Genomic DNA, 24,047 nt, shown 5'->3' with positions numbered 1-24,047 from the left:
AGTTTTCTACTAAAGTTCCTTTAGTAGCACAGAGGACAGGGAGAAAGGCTGTGGCAGCTGACCCCGAGTGGTCCACAACATTTGTTTTAAAATCTCGAGGCTTATGTGAAATGTTCAACTGCTTTTGTTTTCTACTCCATGTTCACACTTTCCTCCAAATCTCCGTCTAAGAAGGTTTGACTGGGAAGAGGCCTCTTTTATAATTCTGTGGATTCTGGAACCCTCAGGTTCAGATACTGGGCCTGAGAAGCAGATATAAAAACAATGATCAAAGGAGTATAAAAAAGACACCAGAAAACAACCAAAGTAACCTTGGTGTTTAAAATGTGATTCTTGTACGTTTTTAAATAACTAAAAGAGTAGAATCAGATTGTTTGTGACACAAAGGATGTAGTGCTTGAGGGGACAGATACACCATTTTTTGTCTTTCCTTTTTTTGTTGAGACAGAGTGTCACTTTGTTGCCCAGGCCGGAGTGCAACCATGACTCACTGCAGCCTTGACCTCTAGGACTCAAGTGATCCTCCAGCCTCAGCCTCTCAAGTATTTGAGATGACAGGCATGTGCCACCACACCCAGCTAATTATTTTGTATTTTTCACAGAGATGGGGTTTCGCCATGTTGCCCAGGCTGGTCTTGAACTCCTGGGTTCAAACGATCTGCCCACTTCTGCCTTCCAGAGTGCTAGGATTACAGATGTAAGTGCCCTGTTGGATACTCCATTATTACGCATTGCATGCCTGAATCAAAACATCTCAGGTATCCCATAAATATATATATTTACTGTGTGCCCACAAAAATTAAAAATAGAAAAAAATTAAAAAGGAAAAAATTTTAAAAGAAAAAAATGTAATTTTTAAGAAAGGAAAGGAAAGTTGCTGAGTTGGGACAAGGGGCAGAGACCATGGTGGGATTTAGAGTGACCAGTCAGTAGGGATGGATTGGCAGGGGAGACTGAGGTGGGAACCAGGCGATGGGCTGTCTCAGCTGTCAGTGGAGATGTTGGTGGCCTCACCCAGCTGCGATCTGGAGCTGGAACCAAGAGGACAGATTTTGTTATGAGGCAGCTGGAGGAACTGATGGGACATTGTGATGCCAGCATGAAGGGAAGAGGAGAAATCGACTAATTGATTAGTAGACACTGAGCACTTCCCGTGTGCCAGGCCCTATGCTGGGCATTTCAGTACCGATCCTCATGGGAACTTCCCAGCCACCTGGGGTGATCAGTTTGGGCAACTCTGATGAGGAATGTTGGGCTTAGTGAAGTTGGAGTCATGTCCAGGTCTCCCCTGCTGAGCAGCGGGACCCATGTCTACACTTGGAATGGTTCTGGGGATGCTTCTGAGGCAGAGTCAGCAGGGCTTGGAGATGCCTGGGGTAAGGGTGGGGGGAGGAGGGGAGGATTTCCCTACCCTTCTCCTGTAGATCTTAGCTCAGGGACCTTCTCATCCAAAGACACCCCCTCCACCCCATGTGATTCACCCCATTCTTAACCCCAGACCCATCTCGAGCCTCTTAGAAGGAGCACTGACTTAGGAGTCTAGTGGCCCAGGGCTGAACCCCACCTCAGCCCCTTCTAGCTGATTGCCTGCAAGTCATTTCACCTCTCAGAGCTTCAGCATCCTCCTTAGAAAGATGCTGGTAACAGTTTCATGGTGAGAATGAAAGAAACTCATGTAAAAGAAGGCAGCACCAAGCCCAGGGCCAAGGTGATGCTCAATACACAGGTATTAAATCAGTTTGTTTAACGCGCTTAGCCCATGTTGAATTTTACTCAATTGGGGAAATTCTGTGCTGTGGCACATGGTTGGACTTTGATAAGTGTTTTTAACATGAAAAGAGTTGGCCGGGCATGGTGGCTCATGCCTGTAATCCCAGCACTTTGAGAGGCCGAGGTGGGTGGATTACTTGAGGTCAGGCGTTTGAGACCAGCCTGGCCAACATGGTGAAACCCTGTTTCTACAAAAAATACAATGATTAGCAGGGCGTGGTGGCTCACGCCTGTAGTCTCATCTACTTGGGAGGCTGAGGCAGGAGAATCACTTGAACCTGGGAGGCAGAGCTTGCAGTGAGCTGAGATTGCACCATTGCACTCTAGCCTGGGTGACAGAGCGAGACTCTGACTCAAAAAAAAGTAATTCTTACCCATTGGATTTGTCAATATTGGTGTGTATCCCATTGTGTCCCCAAACATTGGGCTATAATCTGTTTTGGCATCAACAACAGGCCACCTTTGAAACATCTGTGAAGCCCCCTTCATGTGAGAGCGGTCACTCTTTCCTGGTCAGTAAATTCAGCTCTAAAAATATCACCTGCTTTCCCCACAAATCATCTTCCCTTTGCACCTTGTCAGTGGCTCTGTGCTGTGAAGCTGCCCCTCTGTTGGCCAGTTTGCTGTGTGCACATCATCCTCTTTTGGCTTTCCCTCTAGTTGTGGCTGTTTACATAAAGGAATCCTGGTGCTCCACGGAAGATGCACTAAGAACCTCTGATCCTGCAAGAGAAGGGTTGATGAAGGTGAGTTGATGCAATTCTAAATGAATGTTGTAAAAGAAGTTCTAAAAGTCACAGTGCCTCCTTGATAATTTGATAATTTAAAGCAGTCTAGCCATATCTTCACTTCCTAGTACCACAGAGTACCACAAAACAGAAATGTATTGTCTGAGAGTTCTGGAGGCTGGAAAGTCTGAAATCAAGCAATCGACAGGGTTGTTTTCTTTTGAGGGCTGTAAATGAGAATCTGTTCCTGGCTTCCCTCCTAGCTTCTAGTAGCCTCAGGGGTTTCTTGGCTTGTAGATGACCTTCTCCTTGTATTTCCACATTGTTTTCTATATGTGTTTCCGTCTCTGTCAAAATCCTCCTTTTTTATAAGGACACCAGTCATATTGGATTAGAGACCAACTGAATCCCTTCATGTTGATTGACCAGCAGACTCTTTTTCCAAATAAGGTCACATTCACACAACTGGGGGTTAGGACGTCAACAGCTTTTTGGGGGTGACAGTTCAATCCATAACACCCTGCTAGCAAGGAAAACAGCACTCAGTGCTATGTATAACAGATATCTGGCTACTGATAAGTCTATTTTACTTTCCTGAGTGGCCCCTCATGTCTAAGTTTTAAAACTTTAACATACACCATCTCTCTGTTGAATGGGAAACTTCTGCTTAGTGCATTCAGGTAACGTTTATTGGCTCTTAGCATGAGTTAGAATTGTAGCAGATATTATCCTGTATGTTACCTGAGACTCTATAGGGATTATCTAATGTCAGAACCTTCAAGGTATTTGTTTGCAAATGAACACATTGAAGCTGAGTCACACAGCCAGTAAGTGATTTAGCTGGGTACAAACATCTGTCTCCTTGACATCAGACCTGGTGATCTTTGAAGAGCTGTGCCTCTGTTGAGCAGTTGTAAAGCAGAGACCTGGGATGGCAGGTGTGAAGGCAGGAGCCAGAGGAGCTTCTCAGAGGTCCAGGTGGCATCCTGTTGGCTGAACTTTGGCTGGGGCAGAGGCTAAGGAGGAAGCCAGTACCCAACTGAGAGTTTGGACTGTGTGCCTCACATTCACCCATTTTCATTTAATTGGTATATTTATCTTAATTCCATAGGTGGGAAGAAGGATGATGCTTCCCTGCAGTCTTGAAATGTGTGATCTTGTTTACAGTTGTCTGGAATGCCATTCGGTTCCCTTCATAGAGCCCTGTAAATAATGAATGAAATATCAGTATTCTTTCCGGTTCAGTATGGAGAATGGCTAAGAAGCAAAATACAATTAAAAGATAAAGAAAAAACGTCAAGACCTAAAGTTCTACAAACAGAGAGGGGAAATAGTCCCAGGCACAACACTTCAAAGATCTCCAGCCTGATGTCAAGGAGATGGAAGTTTGTACCCAGCTACATCACTTACTGGCTGTGTGACTCAGCCTCGATGTCTTCATTTACACAACAAATACCTCGAAGGTTCTGAAATTAGATAATCCCTATAAGGGGTCTCAGGTAATGTTCCCAAGTTGTTAATCCAGGTTTTATTTTATTTTTATTTTTTTTCCTGCTGAGCAATTAAAAAATTAGTTCTTGATTTTTTTCTAAACAAGAGCTTCATTAAGATAGAATTCACACATCATAATCTTCATTCTTTTAAAGTGTACAATGGAGTGACTTCTAATATATTCACAACATTCTGTATCAATCACCACTAATTCCAGAACATTTTCATCATTTTAAAAAGAAGCTTTCTACCCACTAGCATCACTCCTCATTCCTGTCTTTCCCCAGTCCCTGGAAACCATAATCTGCTTTCTGTCTCTATGGATTTGCCTCTTCTAGATATTTCCTATAAATGGAATCATATTACAGGTGGTCTTTTGTAAACAGCCTCTGTAACTTGGCTTAATCTTTTCAGAGTTCATCCATTGCAGCATGCATCAGTACTTCATTCTTTTTTTGGGGGTGAATAATAGTCCATTGTATGGATATACCACATTTCATTTATCCATTTTTCAGTTGATGGACATTTGAGTTGTATCCACTTTTTGACTATGATTAATAATACTTCTATAAGCATTTGTAGGGAAATTTTTGTGAGGATACATATTTTCAGTTCTCTTGAGTATATATCTAGGAGCGGAATTGCTGGTCATGTGGTAACTCTATGTTTCATATATTGAGGAACTGTACAACTGCCTTCCCCAGCAGCTATACCATTCTGCACTCTCAACAGCAGTGTCTGAGGGTTTCAGTCACTCCATATCCTCACCAGCACTTGTTATTGTCTTTTTAATGTTCTCCATCCTAGTAGGTGTGAAGTAGAATCTCACTGTGGTTTTAATTTGCATTTCCATGATGGCTAAGGATGGTGAACATCTTTTCATGTGCTTATTGGCCATCTATAGATCCTCTTTGGGAAAATGTTTATGAGGATCCTTGGCCCACTTTTTAATTGGGTTATTTGACTTTTTACTATTGGGTTGTGAGAGTTTTTCATATGCAGGGTTTCATGTGCAGAGTTTTTCATATGCATAATCCTTATCACATATATGATTTGAAATTATTTTTTTCCCATTCTATGAGTTGTCTTTTTTAGGTCTCGTTTTAATCGACTCAGTAGATATTATTTTGAAAAGGTTTTTCTTCCAGCACATTAGAGACGGCCTGAGATTCAGCAAGTGAGCATGATGTACCCAGTGTGGTGCTTGGCATCTTGTTTTGCGTTGCTGCCCCAGCTCTGGTGCTGCAGGTGGGCCAGGTGGCCACTTAATGACTGACTGTTCTGAATGCTATGAAGAATGTGGATGGCTCCTTAAATAATTTTTTCAGAACAAGAGTTGTTACTTCCTTCATTTGTCATCTCTTCTTCTAAGTTTAAATGAGAAAACCCCCACATTTTCTGACAATGTGGCCTATATTATGAACAGAAAGAAACTTGGGTGTTATTTCCACTTAATTAACCATGTTGTAAAGATCTATCCTACCCCAGCTGTACATAGGAATATTTCCCCTCTGTTTGTAGAACTTTAGATCTTGACTTTTTTTCTTTTTCTTTTAATTACATTTTGTTTCCTAGCCAGCTCTTCTTCACAAATTACCAAAAAACCCCCACAAGATTTCTTAATGTTTTTCTTGTTAACTTAATTAGTGGTCCTAATGAGGGATGTGAACTGGAACTTAGCTTTGTGTTTTCAGAAACATTTCTGAGTCAAAATCACATGTCACACGTTTTCCTCCCCCATAATGAAATTGGACAAATTAAGTACATTTTCTTTCTCCTCCTTTTTCTCCTGCCAGTTTTTGATTGGATATTTCCCTTCTGCCAGATGCAATCTGCTTTTGTCTTCTGGCTTTCTTCTGAACTTTTTAGTTTTATAAGTTGAAAAATATAACCTCCTCCACGACACCAATCTGGTTTTGTGACTAGCTAGTTATTCTCAACGTCTGAACTTGATTTGGCTGCCGCTGTCTGAGATACAAAATGTGATGGCTTCTCAGAGCCAAGCTAGTGTGGTTTTCACTAATCTTTTTCTCATTTAAGATTTAGCTCCAGATGAAGGTGAAATATTTTACATTCTGGCCAATTCGTAAGTTTGTTGGCACTGAACACTTCGTGCCATTTGCTGCAAGCTGCCTTATTTTTATTATCAGAGCATTTGAAAAACATGCAAGTATTTTAGAGACCACATGAAGGATCTTCTCCCTTGACTGGAGGGGGAAACCAAGACTCAAAGAGGTTGTGAGTTGCTGAGGATCTCCCAGCAAATCCAGCGTAACAACCCACAAACCGCAAATGATGACGATGATAATCCAAGAGTCAAGTATTAAATATAAAACAAAGTATTAATATTTGTATTATCCCCTTTCCCCAAATCTAATTTCTAATGGATGAAGATGAAGAATGAAACCGCTGGCTGGACTGGAAAGCCCCAGCCTGTTGTTTTGTGCCTGCCTCTGACAGACCCCTCGCCCAGCTGTCTCAAATCCTCTTTGAAATGAGGCGGGGAAATCAATAAATGTAATCACCCTCTTTGAGCTTCAATTTCCCCACCTGTGAACCAAGACCTCCCCAGCAGGTGGTGAGAATCACATGGTAGCATGTGGGTGGATGTCCTGGACCAGTTAGTGGCCTTGTTGATCTGGAGGTAATGCATAGGATAAAGTGACAAACACGCACGCAGAGGCTGTCACCTAGCAGTGTTGCAGAGTAAGTTCCAATACAACAGCATTGTCACTTCGTAAATAGCTGATTGGTTTCACCTCCTGCCACATTTTAGCAGTTGCTCGTGGCTGTCTGAAGGGCTGCGTTAAGGAGGCTTCTGAGACCGTGTCCACGCTTAGCTGGACAGATAGGTCTGCTCTGAATCCAGGGGTGGGAGACCTTGGTTTCTGCCACCTATTTGCCATCCGTGGGCTACACAAATGCAGAGCATTGTAACAGGCAGGAGTGTGAAGTCATTTTGACTTGCGAAGGGGAGCTTCTAACTGTGTGGGCCTGACTTTGACCACAATACAATTTCCTCACTTGTGATAACTTTGCTACAGGCAAGAGATGGTTCAATTTTACAGCCTTAGAACGGGCTGTGCCCTGAGTCCCCGTAATTCTCTGGGATTAGGACACCAGTGTGTGCTCTAAATCTGTCACAAGCCATTGAAACTCACTTGCTTTTGGTGTAGCAATTGATCTCCCACATCATTTACCCTCCTTCTGACGGCCAGAATTCCGGGGCCTGCTGTCATGAAAATGACAAATCGGGTTTATTTCAGGATACATCCAGCAAGTCAGTTGAAATGGGTTGCCGCAGCCCCCCAGTGTTAATTTCCTGTTTTGTTACCATGTGATGGATTGTGCTTTGTCGTCTCACATTCCTGGTCCATGGCCCTGGGGACCAGGGGCTGCCCCTGGCAGCGTTCTCTGCTCCTGCAGGCTGCATGGTGCCAAAGGTCAGTGGTGTGGAAGCCTCTGTGAGATGCCGTGATTCATGTTTTGGCTCTTTGAGCACAAAATGAATCTTCAGTGGAGGAGCTCACACCTGGCCCCGACGTGTGCGTCACATCCAAGCGCAGAATTTATTGCGCATGATTTTCCTCTCTTGTCTCACTTGACTGTTGTTCTTTTTCTTTCTGTTTTTTTCTTGAAAGGTTCAGTCGTTTGGGGAAAGGGTTGTGCTTTTCATTCTAAACGCCATTATTTTTGGAAGATTGGAGAGAAATTTGGATGATGATGACATGTTTTTTCTACCTCACTCTGTGAAGGAACAAGCTAAAATCCTGTGGAGACGTGGAGCGGCTGTTGGGTTTTACACAACCAAGATGAAAGGTGAGGGATGCATGGCCACCACTTCAGGCTGGACTGAGTGGGGCTGTCTAGGGGTCTGCCTGGCCTGGAGGGCTTGCTCAGCACCAGCTATGTGGAGAGAATCTTCTAGCACAGGAAGTATCGTGGATTAAGTTGGGTGTAAATAAACCCCACGTATGGATTCCATTTCCACCACATTTCTCATCTCAGTGGCAAACATGGTGAAAAGCATGTCCCTTTGATTTCCAGGCAGTGCCATGTCCCCTCTAAAAAATAACTAATTGTAATTAATGGTATAAAATTTCATTTCTTTCTTTCAGTGTTACTAGTTAGTTGTCAGGAAAAATACCACTGCTAATAGCTGACATGTGGAGCCAAAGCAGCTTGGATGCCAAGATTTATAGACATTAGAAGAGAGGGAGTCCGGCCATGATAACAAGGTTAGGGTGAAAGTCTCTGACTTGAAGGGCAGTGACCAGTGCTAAGTGTGGGACTAGTACCATTTTGCTGAAGTGATTTGTCTCTTCTTTTTTATTATTATTTTTAATTTTTTGAGGCAGGGTCTTGCTTGATGTCACCCAGGCTGGAGTACAGTGGCACGATCATGGCTCACTGCAGCCTCAACTTCTGGGCTCAGGTGATCCTGCCACCTCAGCCTCCTGAGTAGCTGGGACTACAGCCATGTCTGGCTAATTTTTGTATTTTTTGTAGAGATGGGGTTTTGCCATGTTGCCCAGGCTGGTCTCGAGCTCCTGAGCTTAAGCTATCTGCCCACTCCAGCCTCCCAAAGTGCTGGGATTGCAGGTGTGTGCCACTGCGCCTGGCCACTGGTTTTCTTCTTTAAAGTTGCTTTCTTTTTTTCATTCTTTCTTTTCTTTTTTTTTGAGATGGGATCTCTTTGTCACCCAGGCTGGAGTACGATGTCGTGATCATAACTCACTGCTGCCTCCAATTCTTGGGCTCAAGTGATCCTCCTGCCTCAGCCTCCCAAAGTGCTGGGATTACAGGCATGAACCACCGCACCTGGCCTCTTTATTTAATTTTTAAAGGCTGTCAACATCTCTCACCTAACTAATTCCAGCCCCATCATTTGGTTGTCAAAAAGTTCTCAATTTTAGCAAAAATTAATCTTCTCAGTAAACTGCCATGGATATACTACGAGTTAGATGTTTTTCTTGGGCGCTAAAGAGGCTGAGTTTGGTTCTGAGCCACGTTCACGTTGTGTGTGTGGTTGACCTGTCCAGGATGCGATAAATTTGTGTTTCTCGCTTTTTTGTTTTTTCCTCAGTGAGATACAGCAGTTTCTCATCCAAACCACTTCTTCATTTCTTGGTTAATTATATTTGCAAAGTCAGTCGTAGCTTTAGCCCCTGTGTCTTTCAGCTCTTTTCCTCACGACAGCCTTTGTCCTCAGACTTTGATGCCCTTTCACTTTTTTGAATGGTCATGTTCTTTCACCATTTAAGATAGACCAAGGGGCCTAGAGAAAAATTAAAATGAAAAGGAAGCTTTTTGTAATTCCTCTTTCCTGGGAGACTCATCAGTGGTCATTTTCTACCAAATGGCTGTTTTTGAGTCTGTAACCAAATCATTTGTGGTGTAGACATCCTACTAATACTAACAAAAACTGTTAACAGATGCCAGCTTGATGTGTGAAACCACAGGTAGGCGGCAGAAGGAGCTTGACCTTGGTCTTGCCTGGTCCTGCTGCTATTCCTGGAGGCAGTGATACCAAGGGTCCTGATTCCGGGGAGGGACACAGGGGTTGTCTGCAGCCGCTATGCTCTTCCCCAGGCCGATTCAGGGCCTTGGAGGAGAGGGAAGACCTAAGGATGCTGAGCTGAGGCAGGTCAGACTGGGTGCTTGAATTCTGCCTTTTCATTTCTGATGGATCCTACAAATTCAGTGAAAAGTTCCCTGAAGCTGCTTGTGAGGTCACATTATTTTCATTAATGAACTGGTTTTTGAAGTGGCAATGGACTGTTAGTTACTTGGCAATTTAGTGGGTTTAAAAAGTGTCAAATGTGCGTGGTGGCTCACGCCTGTAATCCCAGCACTTTGGGAGGCCAAGGTGGGCAGATTGCTTGAGCTCAGGAGTTCAAGACTAGCCTGGGCAACATGGTGAAACCCCATCTCTATTAAAAGTACAAAAACCAGCTGGGCATGGTGGTGCATGCCTGTGGTCCCAGCTACTCAGGAGGCTGAGGTGGGAGGATCACTTGAGCCGAGATCATGCCACTGCACTCCATCCTGGGTAAAAGAGTGAGACCCTGTCTCAAATAAAAAAAAAAAGTATCAAACTTGTAGAAAATAAAATAAATGAAGCAAATGTATTTTTCAGGTTTTCATTGCCAACTTTAAAATTTTTTACTGCCTTGTTATGGATTAACATTTTTAGGGAGACACAATGAGGCTATTTCTGTGGAATCTATATATATATATATTACCAGCAGCAATGTCTGAGAGTTACAGTTGCACCACATCCTTGTCAGTACTTGGTATTGTCAATCTTTTTCATTTTAGCCAGTCTATAAAGTGTGAAGTGGTGGCTAATTTTGGTTTTAATTCACATTTCACTATTTCACTAATGATGAATGACATTGAACATGTGCTTATTTGATGGTCATATAACTTGTTTGATGAAGTGTCTGTTCAAATATTTTTGCCCATTTTTAATTGTTTTTTAAATTATTGAGCTTCAAGAGTTCTTTATATATTTTAGATAAGAGCTTTTTATCAGATATATGTTTTGAAAACATTTTCATTTTGATGACAGTGGCTTTCAGAGAGCAAAAGTTTTAAATCTTGATGAAGTCTAATTGATCAATTTTCATTATTATTCAGTTGAAAATATTTTCTAAAATACTTTGTGATTTCTGTGGGTTCTTTAAAAGTGAGTTTTTAATTTCCAGATATTTGGGGGCTATCTCTGATTTTTTTTTATTTCTAATTTAATTCTGCTGCAGTAAGAGAATATAGCCTGCTATATTTAATATTCTGAAAATGACTGAGAGCTGTTTTATGGCCTAGTGTGTGGTCTATCTTTGGGAACATTCTGTGGGGACTTAAAAGAGTATATTCGGTGGTTGTTGGGTGTAGTGTTTAGAACTGTCAGGTTATGGTGACTGGTGATGTCATTCATATCTGCAAGGGAGCAAGAGTGGGGAAGTGCCATGCTCTTTTAAACAGTTGCTATCCAGTGTAATTTTCCTTCAGGCCAAAATACTTCTGATATAGGTTGGATATTTGTCCCCTCCAAATCTCAGGTTAAAATGTGACCCCCCCATTGTTGGAGATGGAGATGGGGCCTACTGAGAAGTGGGTGGGTCATGGCGGCAGATCCCTCATGAATGACTTAGCACCTTCCCTATGATACTGAGTGAGTCTAGCTGTATTAGTTCATACTAGAGCAGATTGTTTAAAAAAGTATGGCACCTCCCATCTCTCTCTTGCTCCCTCTCTCTCCATGTGACATGGCTGCTCTCCTTTGCCTTCCACCATGAATGGAAGCTTCCTGAGGCCCCACCAGAAGCAGATGCTGGTGCCATGCTTCTTGTACAGCCTGCAGAATCAGGAGCCAAATAAACCTCTCTTCTTTACAAATTACCCAGCCTCAGGTATTCTTTTATAGCAGCACAAAACAGACTAATACAGCTTCCCTTAGTATTTCTTATAGTGCCATTCTGCTGGCAACAAATTCCATTAATTTTTGTTTACTGAAAATGTTTTTATTTCACTTTCATATTTGAAAGATAGTTTATCCAGATACACAATTATTAGAGATCACTTCTTTTCTTTCAGCACTTTGAATATTTTGTTCCAATATCATCTGGCTTTCATAATTTTGGGTGAGAAGTCAGCCATTCCTCTTATTCTTGTCCCCTCATAAACAAAACGTCATTTTTTCTTTGACTGCTTTCAAGGCTTTCTCTTTAACTTTGACTTTTTTTTTGCAGTTGACTGTGATACATCTATATCTTAGTCCATTTGTGCTTCTATAACAAATGCAAGAGACTGGATAATTTATAAACAACAGAAATTTATTCCTCACAGTTCCAGTTGTCTTCTTTTTCTGGGTTTGCAGCCATATGTATGTTAGGGTGCTTCATATTGTCTTACAGGCCTCTGAAATTTTATTTTTCTTGGAATATTTTTCTTTCTCCTTTGGTTTAATTTATCTTGATCTATATTCAGGTTCATCTGCCATCTATAATCTGCTGCTAAGTCTATTGAAAAATTTAGTTATTGTACTTTTCAGTGCTAAAACTTGTATTATTGTGTAGAGTTTTCAATTCTTTATTGAGATTCCCTGTCTATTTATTCATTTGATTATATCTTTTTCTTTAATTCTTGGGATTATTTTATTTTAATTCTTTGAATATATTTGTAAAGCTGGTTTGAAGTCATGGAATTATTTTAATTATTTGAATACATTTGTAAAGCTGGTTCGAAGTCCTTGTCTGTCAATATCTGGGCCTATGTAAACTCAGTTCTACTGACCACCATTATTTTTTTTCCTGAGTAAGGGTCATACTTTCCTGTTTCTTTGCATATTTAGTAATTTTTGGTTGAAAACTAGTCGTTGCAGCAACTGAAATTCTTTTTTGATTTCCGAGGATTTTGAGATTTTTGTTTTAGCAGGCATTGAACTTGCCTGAATTTAAACTGCACACTTCATCTCCCTTGTGATATGTAGCTGCTGACATCTGTTTGTATGGCTTCCCATGGCTGCTTCTTTAGCCTGGCCCTGTAGAGTTCTTCCCTGTACCTGCAAAGTTGGTGGTTCAACAAAGATTTGGACATGGATGTGACTTACCTTCTCTGTGATTTCCTTGCTTCTGCCAGATTTGGATTCCGTAATCTGACCCTTCAAACAATTTATTTGACTTCAGTCTTCTGTTACTACAGCTGCCCAAGTTGAGGAATGTCCTTGGTTAAGGAAAGTGTCAAAGTCACAGGTCTAATTCTGTGCAATTCCATCTTTCAAGAGTGGGTATCTCTCTGGGCTCTGACTTCTTTTTTGCCGGATCCCTTGGGGTCTGCTCCACTCATACGCAGATTAGCTATAAGCCAGATTTCGGAAGTTTATGCTCTGAATTTGGGTCTCACTAATTCTGTGGTTCTCTTGCTGCTAGGGCTTCCTCATTAAATTTCTGTGTTTTTTTTCCCATCCTGAATTCTGATATTTGACATGTTTAGCTGGTAAGGCTGCGGTTTTTCCTACAAATGTTTTTTTATAACCTCGCAGGTGGAATTAATCCTGTGGCTGGTAAGCTGAAAACTCACAGGTTCTACCTATTCCAGTTTTCTGAAAGTAAATTTTCCTCTGGCTTCTATCTGCTTTTGGATGCCTTGCAGTGTCTTTAAATGTTTTATTAAATTTATTTTTTTAATAGTTATTATATATAGGGATTTGCATGACCACTTCATCTCACCAGCGTTATCTAATATTCTATTCATGTATAGATCATAGGATTTTGTTCCTTGCCTTCCCCTCTCTTCCTATAAGTTGAGAGAGGGATGTATTTAGATGAATTAAAAAATGGTTGCTATGCATGCAGGTAAATTAAACAAAAAGTAATTTTGATGGTGATTAGGTATATTTTATTTTGTTATTTTACATATGTAAGTTAAGAAAATTTGCCAGTGAGTACATGTGGTTTAATTGGCTATAGGAGGGGTTTATAGTTCAGAAGTTCAGAACAGTTAATGATGTTTCTCCAGTCTTGGCTCTGTCTTGGTGCCTGTCACAGTGTTTTGTGGTGATGTTGTATTGATGTTTGAGAGATGGGCACAGCAAATGGCATGCTTCTCCACTTTTCAGCACAACAGTTTCTCTTCATAATCTTAGATCCATATGATTCAGAATGTCTGTTAATTTAGCCTGGGCTTGGCTGAAGTTTATAATTTCATTCTGTGAGGAAAACAAAATGTACAAATTCATTGCATAAATAGGATCACAGGGGCCAGGTTTTACCTACTGATATGGTTTGGATTTGTGGCCCCACCCAAATTTCATGTCCAGTTGTAACCCCCAGTGGTGGAGTGGGGGCCTGGTGGGAAGTGATTGGGTCATGGGGTGGACTTCCCCCTTGCTGTTCTCATGATGTGAATGAATTCTCAAGAGTTCTAGTTGTTTAAAAGTGTATAGTACCTCCCCCTTCACTCTCTCTTCCTCCTGCTCTGGCCATGTAAGATGTGCCTGCTTCCTCTTTGCCTTCTGCCATGATTGAAAGTTTCTTGAGGTCTCCCCAGCCATGCTTCCTATACAGCCTGTGGAACCCTGAGCTACTTAAGCCTCTTTTCTTATAAATTACCCAGTTTCAGGTATTTCTTTATAGCAATGTGGGAACAGACTAATACGCCTATTGAAGAGTATACATTGTTTCTTTTCTTTCTTTTTCTTTTTTTTTGTTTTTGAGATGGAGTCTTGCTTTGTTGCCCAGAATAGAGTACAGTGGCATGATCTCGGCTCACTGCAACCTCTGCCTCCTGGGTTCAAGTGATTCTCCTGCCTCAGCCTCCTGAGTAGCTGGGATTACAGACACGTGCCACCAGGCCAAGCTAATTTTTGTGTTTTTAGTAGAGACGGGGTTTCGCCATGTTGGCCAGGCTGGTCTCGAACTCCTGACCTCATGATCCACCCTCCTCAGCCTCCCAAAGTGCTGGGATTACAGGCATGAGCCACCGTGCCTGGCAGAGTATACATTATTTCTAAGCATTTTAGCTATATCTTTTCTGTCTGCATGTAACTTTAAATTTTTAAAAGTTATAGAGTAAAATTCACTTTTAGGGGGAGTTTACAGTTCTGTGAATTTTAACCCATGTATAGGTTTGAATAACCACAACCACAGTGAAAATAAACAATAGTTTCATTACCTCCCCCATACGCTTCATCCCCGCCTCCCAATAACCCCAGCAACCACGGGTCTGTTCTCCATCACTACAGTTCTGTCTCTTTTAGAATATCCTGTACATGAAGTCAGGCGGTGTTTAGCCATTGGAGACTGACTTCTTTCGCTCGGAATAATGCCTTTGAGATTCATCCACCATAATGTGTGTATCAGTAGTTTGTGTCCCATTACTGCTGAAGAGCGCATTCAGTTTTCAAACAAGTGAGTGCCTTTATATAGAACAAATAAGATATTTTCAGGTAGACCTCTCTTTGGACACATTTTGCTAGTAGGGTGGTTTGAGTTTCTCCCTTTGTTTGATGGTTCTGTAATTGTCTTTCTTACAAAATATTGACACTTTAGCCATTTCACTATTTCACGTTGAAATTTTCCCTAGGTAATCAAAATTGTGAGGTTTTACTTTAACTTTTGCTCTAAAACCACCATTCCACAAAACCGTTAGCATTCAAGGGAAGAAAATACTCACTGGGGAGTGGAGAGTCGGCCAATTTAAGGCAGAGCTAATAAGTATTGTGGTTTTGTATAAAAACCTAAAAAGAACACTTTTGCATTTCAGATTCCTGAAAGCCCAACACAAATGATTTCTGAAAGTCCTTGAACAAATACAAGGGCAACACTTAAAAATATTAAACCAGGTGGTTTGGAGCCCAGGCAAGCATGGGACCTGTGAGATGACAGTGACACTGTGGAGTCGGCCTCAGCCCTGCCTGTCACCAGGGCCTTCTGTTCTCTGCCTTCCCCAGACACCAGGCCCACAGGGACCTCCTGCACTGTTGTCCCGTCAAGCAGGGACCCCTTGCCATCTTCTGGACTTTAGTAGAAGCATAGCAAAAAATGGAGTGGCAAGAGTGCAGTGTTGTTTCGGGTACCGAGTCTGCCACCCAAAGAGAAGGGGCTTGCCACTGCAAGGAACAGAAGTCTACTCCTGGACTTACAAGAAGGGAGGGCACTGGAAGAGGGCAGGGGAAGTTCGTGAGGTGCTGCCTGGCTTCTAAGGCTGGGATGGGGACCCCACAGCTGTTAGTGGGGTGCTACTCTGCTAGTCTCTTTGCAGACCAGCTTCCTTTACTTACTTATGTTTCTTGCTCCCTTAGAATGTTGACTTTAGTTTGCTGTGATGCCAGACTGGCCTCTAACTGTACCCGCTTTCAAGGGCCAGGACCTACTATAGTGCTAGTCCAGCTGGCCGGTGGTTTGGTTTCTTATGGATGGATCATGGGTCCACCTTTTGCTCAGCTGTGGTCAGGTAGGCTGGGTGCTATGGATCAGAGATGGCCATCTAGCCCTGTCTCTTTAACTGAGGCTATGGTGGGGCAATTTTAAAGAGCTATGGGTTTGGCAGACATCCCATAATAATCCATGGAGGAATCCTGGAGGTCTTGCCTAAAAGTATTCTGGCCTTAACCTGGGCTGTAATACTCTTAGTCAAGACCACCAGGCAGCCCTTTGTTGACAACTCTTAACTTTTAGAGCCCTGCAGAGGACACAGCTTTGTGCTGCTCATGTAGTATAGGATACAGGAATTCTCAGGCTCTACCCCAGACCTACTGAATCAGAAACTCTGCAGTGGGGCCCAGCAGTCTGTGTTAACAAGTCCTGCAGGTGATTCTCGTGTATTCTACAGTGTGAGAACCACTGACCTAAGGCACACATTCTCAGCAAGGAGATATTGCCCCCAGTAAGACAGTGATTTGTTCTTGGGGAGCAAAAAAAAATCTTAGATATTTACAGTGGTTTATGGCTTTTCAAAGATCAACATTATTTAACAAAGTCTTATTTTTTATTAGTATTTAATTTGGGGGATGGTGATCAATATATTACAAATAAATATATTGTATAAGCCTTTCCATAATCTATACATATTTCAAGACATCATATTGTACACCAAAGATATATACAATATTTATCTGTCAATTAAAAAATATTAATTTAAAAAATACTCATATTCAAATTGTGAATTTGTCTCAAATTCATACAAAGCAAAATGGTGGTTTCAAGAACTAGAGGGAGAGGGAAACAGGGAGTTATTGTTTAATGGGTACAGAGTTTCCATTTACAATATGGAAAGAGTTCTGGACATGGATGGTGATGATGGTTACATAACATTATTCATATTTAAAGTTTTTTAAATTGACAGGTAAATATTGTATATTTTTTTGGTGTACAACATGATGTTTTGAAATATGTATAGATTGTGGAATGGCTAAATCAAACTAATGAATATATGCATTACCTCACATATTTATCAGTTATTTGTAGTGAGAACACTTAAAATCTACTCTTGTAACAATTTTCAAGTATACTGTATGTTGTTATTAACTGTAGTCACCATGTTGTACAGTAGATTTCTTTAAGTTATTCTCCTGTCTATATGAAATTTTATATCCTTTGACCAATATCTTCCCAGTTTCTCCCCACCTCTAGCACCTGGTAACCACCATCCTACTCTCTGCTTCTATGAATTGGACTTTTTTAGATCTACATATAAATGAGATCATGCACCCATTTTTAAATTGGGTTATTTGTTTTCTTGCTATTAGGGTGTATGAGTTCCTTATATGTTTTAGATATTGACCCCTCATCCGATGTATGGTTTGCAAATATTCTCCCATTCTGTAGGTTGCCTTTTCACTCTGTTGATTGTTTCTTTTGCCATGCAGAAGCTTTTTAGTTTGATGTAGTCCCCTTTGTGTATTTTTGCTTTTGTTGCCTATGCTTTGGGATCATATTAAAAAAACCATTGTCCAGGCCAATGTCATGGAGCTTTCCCCCTATGTTTTCTTATAGTAGTTTTACAGGTTTCAGCCTTACATTTAAATCTTTAATCCAGTTTGAGTTGTTTTTTGTATATGATGTGAGATAAGAGCCTAATTTCATTCTTCTGCATGTGGATATCCTGTTTTCCCAACACCATTTAGTGAAGTGACTGTCGTTTTCCAATGTGTGTTCTTGGCATCTTTGTCAAAAATCAATTGGTTGTACATATGTGGGTTTATTTCTGGGCTCATTGTTCTGTTCCATTGGTATACCAGTCTGTTTTTATGTCGATACTATGCTATTTTGATTACTATAGTTTTGTATATGTTTTAAAATTACAGAGTGTGATGCTTGTGGCTTTATTCTTTCTGCTTAAGATCACTTTGAGTATTTGGGTCTTTTGTGGTTCTATACAAATTTTAGGATTTTTTTTTCTATATCTGTGAAAAATGTCATTGGAATTTTGATAGAGAATGTGTTGAATCTATAGATAGCTTTGGGTAGCAGGGATATTTCCACAGTATTAATCTTTCTAATCCATGAACATGGGATATATTTTCATTTATTTGTGTCTTCTTCAATTTCTTTCATCAGTATTATAGCTTTCATTGTATAGAATTTTATCTCTTTGGTTAAATTTATTCCTAAGGTATTTTGTTATTTTTTTTGTAGCTATTGTAAATGGGATTGTTTCCTTAATTTCTCTTTTGGATAGTTAATTGTTAGTGTATAGAAACACTACTGATTTTTGTATGTTGAGTTTGTGTCCCGCAAATTTACTGAATTTGTTTATTAGTTCTAATGGTTTTTTAAATATAGTCTTTAGGATTTTTTTATATATAAGATTGTGTCACCTGGGCATAGTGACTCATCGCTGAAATCTCAGCACTTTGGGAGGCCAAGGCCAGAGGCTCACTTGAGCCCAGGAGTTTGAGACCAGCCTGGGTAACATAGGGAGACCCTGTCTCTACAAAAAAAATTAAAAAGTAATTAGCCAGGTGTGATGATGTGCCTGTTGTCCCAGCTGCTTGAGAGGCTGAGGCAGGAGGATTGCTTGAGCCTGGTAGGTTTAGGCTGCAGTGAGTTACAGTCACGTCAATGCACTCCAGCCTGGTCGACAGAGTGAGACCCTGTCTCAAAAAAAAAAAAAGAGAAAGAAAGAAAGAATGAAAGAAAGAAAGAGAGAGAAGGAAGGAAGGAAGGAAAAGAAAGAAAAGAAAAAAGAAAAAGAAAGAAGAAAGAAAAAAAGAAAGAAAGAAAGAAAGAGAAAGACAAGGTAAAGGTTATGTCATCTGCTGCAAACAGAGACAATTTAACTTCTTCCTTTCCAGTTTGGATGGCTTTTATTTCTTTCTCTTGCCTCATTGCTATGGCTAGTACTTCTAGTACTATGTTGAATAGAAGTGGCAAGAGTGAATATCCTTGTTATTGATCTTAGAGGACTATCTTGCAGCTTTTCACTGTTGAATATGATGTAAGCTATGGATTTGCAGGTTGTTTTCATGTTGTTGAGGTTGAATAGTTCTCTGTATTTTCTAGATATTAACCCCCACCTTAGTCTGTTTGTGGTGCTATAACAAAATACCACAGATTGGGTAATTTATGAGCAATAGAAATTTATTTCTCACAGTTCTGGAGGCTGAGAAGTCTAAGATCAAGATACTAGCAGGTTCAGTGTCTAGTGAGGACCCAAATGAATCCTGCCATTTGCCTCCAAATGGCATCTTGTTAACGTATCTTCCTGAGGGGATGAATGCCGTGTCCTCACATGGTGAAAGGATGGAAAGGGGAGAAAAGGGCCTCCTTCCACTCACTCCCTCCAGCCCTTTCATAGGAGTGCCAATCTCATCCATGAGGCTGGAGCCTTCAAGGCCTAATCACCCTCTAAAGGCCCTATCTCTTAATACTATCACTTTGGTGATTAAGTTTCAATACATGAATTTTGGGGGACACATTCAGACCATAATAATCCCTTATCAGATATATTATTTGCAATTTTTCTCTCCCATTCTATGTGATGCCTTTTTACTTTGTTGATACTGACTTTTGATGCACAAAATTTATAAATTTTCATGAAGTCCAATTGCCTGTGTCATTGGTGTCATATTCAAGAAATCATTGCCAAATCCAGTGTCACGAAGCTTCTGCCATATGTTTTCTTCTAAGAGTTTTATAGCTTTAGGTCTTACATTTAGGTCTTTGATCCATTTTGAGTTAATTTTTGTGTATAGTGTCAGCTAAGGGTCCAACTTCATTCTTTTGCATATGTATATCCAGTTTTTCCAGCACCATTCATTGAAAAGATTGCCCATTCTTATAGTTTCTTTTGCTTTTTAAAATTTTCTGTTTTCTGGCCGGGCGCGGTGGCTCACACCTGTAATCCCAGCACTTTGGGAGGCCGAAGCAGGTGGAATACCTGAGGTCAGGAGTTTGATACCAGCCTGACCAACATGGAGAAACCTCGTCTCTACTAAGAATACAAAATTAGCTGGATGTGGTGGTGTGCGCCTGTAATCCCAGCTACTCAGAGGGTGAGGCAAAACAATCATTTGAACCTGGGAGGCAGAGATTGCAGTGAGCCAAGATCATGCCATTGCACACCAGCCTGGGCAACAAGAGTGAAACTCTGTCTAAAAAAAAAAAAAAAATTCTGTTTTCTGATTAATGGATTGAGTAATGTTCAGGGTCCAGCACAATGCTGAACTGAAGCAGCCTTTCTCCTGTAATCTTTAAATGAGGTACATTACTGATATAGATTTTCTTATGTTATACTACCTGGGATAAATCTGCTAGGTCAAGTTTTTTTTTTTTTTTTTTTTTTTCCTGAGCTTTTTTTGAATATTTAAAAAGTAAATCAAATTTTGTGGCACCTTATAAATTCATTCCTGTTATAATAGCAAAATATGTAGAAATAAATGAAATTTTAAAAGGGAAAATAATATAACTAAAGCTTTTCTCCAGGTGTGTCCTATTTTGGGATGGTTCATGTGAATGCATTATTTTTAATTGTTTTTGAGAAACATATAATTATTACAAATAGATATTATAAAAGCTTAGTTCCTCCTGTTAAAAATGATGTTTTTCTGGGCAGACATTAGCAAACTGTGGTCTGTGAGCCAAATCATGCCCATTGCTTGTTTCTGTAAATAAAGTTTTATTGGCATATTGCTATGCCCACTCATATTGTCCTTGGTTGCTTTTGCATTTCAACTGTAGAGTTGAGTAGTTGCAACAGAGACTTTATGGCTCCCAAAGCCTAAAGCATTTACTCTCTGATCTTTACAGAAAAAGTTTGCCAACCCCTGTTCTAGAGAATGCAATTTTTTTTCCAAAAAATTATTTAATCTAAATTGGTGTAGTAGTTCTTGGTGGGCAGAATTTAGGAACATTCTGACCACTTACTAGTATCTTCAATGGATGCTTAACTGTGCTAGGTTCCAAGGGAGTCTGGCTCTAACCTCGTGAAGTGGGCCCAGGACAGACATAATAGCATGATTGTAACTAAAAGATAGTAATAACACTTAGCAAAATTGAACTCTTAGCCATCTCTGTATTGGATTTCTGTGGTTTAGGAGTATCCTAAATATCGTCACAATTTGCACTCATTCTCTTGGACTAGCAACTGTTACTACTTGACTTGAATTTGGCTTTTTAGAGCAGTTCTTCATAAAACACTCTACAGAGCCACAGCAGGTGCAGCAGCCACCATCAGTACAATGTCTCTTAAAATTATCAGGACAAGACCTGGGTGGGTGCGTCACAGCTCCACAAAAGAAATACTGCAAAAGGAAATTTGCTGAAAGCTGGGTCATCTTTGGCCAGGCACTTGTTTATTTTGTGCTCTGACATCCACACCATAACTTTCCTGGTGGCCTGTCTTGATTCTCAAAAGCAGCTGGGCAGAGACGTACATTATGGAATTTGTCCCGCCACTTGTCTTTTTAATCTTCCTCCTTCCTGACAAATCGCCTTTTTGAAGTAGATACAGTTTCTTCCATTACTTTCTAGCTGTCTGCCCCTGTCATTTCCTGGTGGGCAATCTGTGAATTCTGTCTTAGGTATTCCAAGAAATCACTCGTATCTTCATTAAAGTAACCCTAGTTTTTCTTTTCTTTGTTTTGTGTGGGTTATTGGTCTTGCCTCTCCTCCAGAGCAGCCAGGTTAATGAGCAGAGAAACTAGCCCCCTATGGTGACCTAAATTAGCTTTGTATGCCTTGTTGAATCCAGTATGTTAATATTTGTTTATTTTTATTTTCTTTATGTTCACAAATGACTACTGTTGACATATTCTTCCTGTCCTTGGCTTTTTCTTTTTCCCTCAAAGGCTATATTATACTCATAGACTGAGAGGGGGAATGTTCTCTTTATTTTTTGTTCTCTTGAAGGTGTTCTTGGAAGTTTGATAGAACTTATCTCTAAAATCATTTGTGCCTGATGTCTTCAGTGCTGGAGGATTTTAAGCTACTGATTTAAGGTTTTAATCTTCATAGGACAAGTTAGTTTTTTGGTTTTTTCTTGAGTCAGTTTTGGTGGGTTGTCTTATCCTAGGAATTTGTCCTTTTTATTTGTTTTCAAGTTTATTATCATCTTTTCTTTTCTTTTAAACTTTTGCCACATCTGTAGGGATATCTCTTTTAATTCATAATATACTTGATATACTGTCTCTCCTTTCTTTCTTATTTTAGCAACTCTTGAATTTTTAAAAACTTTCTGTTGTTTCTTTCCTTTCTATTTCATTAATGTCTATCCTTTTTGTCTTTTTCCCTTTATTTTCTTTGAGTTTCTTCTGTTCTTTTTGAATATTGTAAATTCTGATGCTTAGCATGTTCACTTTTAGCCATTTTTGTTTTCTGCTATCAGCATTCATGGTTAAAACCATCTCACGCTACTGACAGTTTGGTTGGTTCACCCTGCTGTGGTCTTATGGGTTGTATGTTCTGACTGGTCTGTACTTTGCCATACCTGCCCTCCCCAACTATTTGCTATGAATTGTGGTCTCTTTGGATCTGTTCCCCTGACCCTTTATCCAGGACTAATTATCCTCATGTAACAGGCCTTTCTGAACATTTACCTGAGGGACACAGCTTCATCTGATTTTGGATAGTGCACATTTTGGAATAGGCTTTAGTCTTCAAAGTGTTGTTAGGTAGAGAGACAACTTGTGTAGTCAGTGGAAGTGATTTTAGGCGTGAAGTAGAAGAAAAAGAAAGGGCATCAGAAGATCTTGTTCTTGGCTCAGTTGTGACCCCAACTACTTCACGGCATGGGTTGGTCTAGGTTTGCTCTGGGATCAAAAGATGCCCCATGAGCTGAAGAGAGACATCTTTGGACAGTTGGGGCCAAGTCCCACGTCCTCCCTGTTTTTAACCTTTTTTTGACCCTGTCAGTTGCCATGTCTATAAAATGGGTAGTATGGGCGAGATCGTTGCTATGGTTCCTATCAAATATTCTGTGCTATGTTGCTAGGGTTTCCTTGGACTTTATGTTCTGATTATGAGTAGCAAGCCCACTTGAGCACAACCGGATTATTGCTTCAGCCCCTGTTCATGACTGGGTTTGTAATAAGAATCGGCTTTGGGAGTTGATGTTACAAGATGAATTTTATTTGACCAATCTGAAGGTGTGATCAGCATTTATAAAAGGCTGCTGGAGGATTTTTGTTTCTTCTTCTTCCTCCTCTACCTGTTTATTTTGAAAGAATTTTAGATTTACGGAAGAGTTACAAAGATAGTACAGAAGGTGCCTGTTCACCCTTCACCCTCCAACCCCCTAGTGTCAACATCTTCTATAACCATGGAATAATTATCAAAACAAAGATGTCAGTATTGGCTAATTTTCCACCAATGTCCTTTTCCTCTTCCTGATCCAGCATACATGTTACATTTAGTCTTCAAGTCTCTTTAGTCTACTCTTCCAATCTGAGACCTTTTCTTGGTTTTTCCTTATTTTTCACCATCTGGACACTTTTGAGAAGTACCAGTCAGGTGATCTATAGAATGTCCCTTAATATATACTTGCCTGATGTTTTCTCATTATTAGACTATGGGGCTTTGAATTTGGGAGGAAAGGGAAGTACCTTTCTCCTCACATCATATCAGAGAGGTAGGGTGCACGATATGAATGTTACTACTGGTGATAACCCTGATCACAGTTAAGGGAGTGTCTGCTAGATTTCTTCACTGTAAAGCTACTCTTTTCTCTTTTTTATAATTGATTTGTTACAATCTTTTTTAAAAAAAATTAATCCATTGTATTTTTAAGAAATCAATTTTACTGGATATTTTCGAATAATTTTGAATAATTATTAATTGAATAATTCAATTTGTTGAATAATTTTTACATTCCATAAAATTTTCCAATTATAAGCGTATAAGCCAGTGATTTTTGGCAAATTTAGGGAGTTGTGTAACCATCATCAAAATCCAGTTTTAGGACATTTCCATCACCCCCCCAAAAGTACTGGCTGTTTGCTGTCAGCCTGTTTCCATCCCAGCTCCAAGAAATCACTGATCTGTTCTGTCTCTACCAACTTGCCTTTCCAAGACAGTTCACATAAATGGAATGATAAAATATGCAATCTTTTGCATC

The 24,047-nt window shown here is 40.2% G+C and overlaps 2 pseudogenes across 1 annotated transcript in view; one reads left to right on the top strand and one right to left on the bottom strand.

The window, feature by feature from the left end:
* FAM169BP (family with sequence similarity 169 member B, pseudogene) overlaps window positions 1–24,047 on the top strand; it is a 77,175-nt pseudogene that overhangs the window by 25,929 nt on the left and 27,199 nt on the right. The window contains exons 3-4 of the transcript NR_171054.1: window positions 2,431–2,516; window positions 7,631–7,808. The product of NR_171054.1 is annotated as a family with sequence similarity 169 member B, pseudogene (transcript). The remainder of the gene's footprint in view (window positions 1–2,430; window positions 2,517–7,630; window positions 7,809–24,047) is intronic.
* LOC100421087 (zinc finger CCHC-type containing 9 pseudogene) lies at window positions 20,996–21,573 on the bottom strand (annotated as a pseudogene).

Source organism: Homo sapiens, chromosome 15 (genome assembly GCF_000001405.40).
Source record: "Homo sapiens chromosome 15, GRCh38.p14 Primary Assembly".
Classification (NCBI taxonomy): domain Eukaryota; kingdom Metazoa; phylum Chordata; class Mammalia; order Primates; family Hominidae; genus Homo; species Homo sapiens.
Note: the sequence above shows the minus strand (reverse complement) of the source record. Positions and strands in the feature narration are given on the sequence as shown.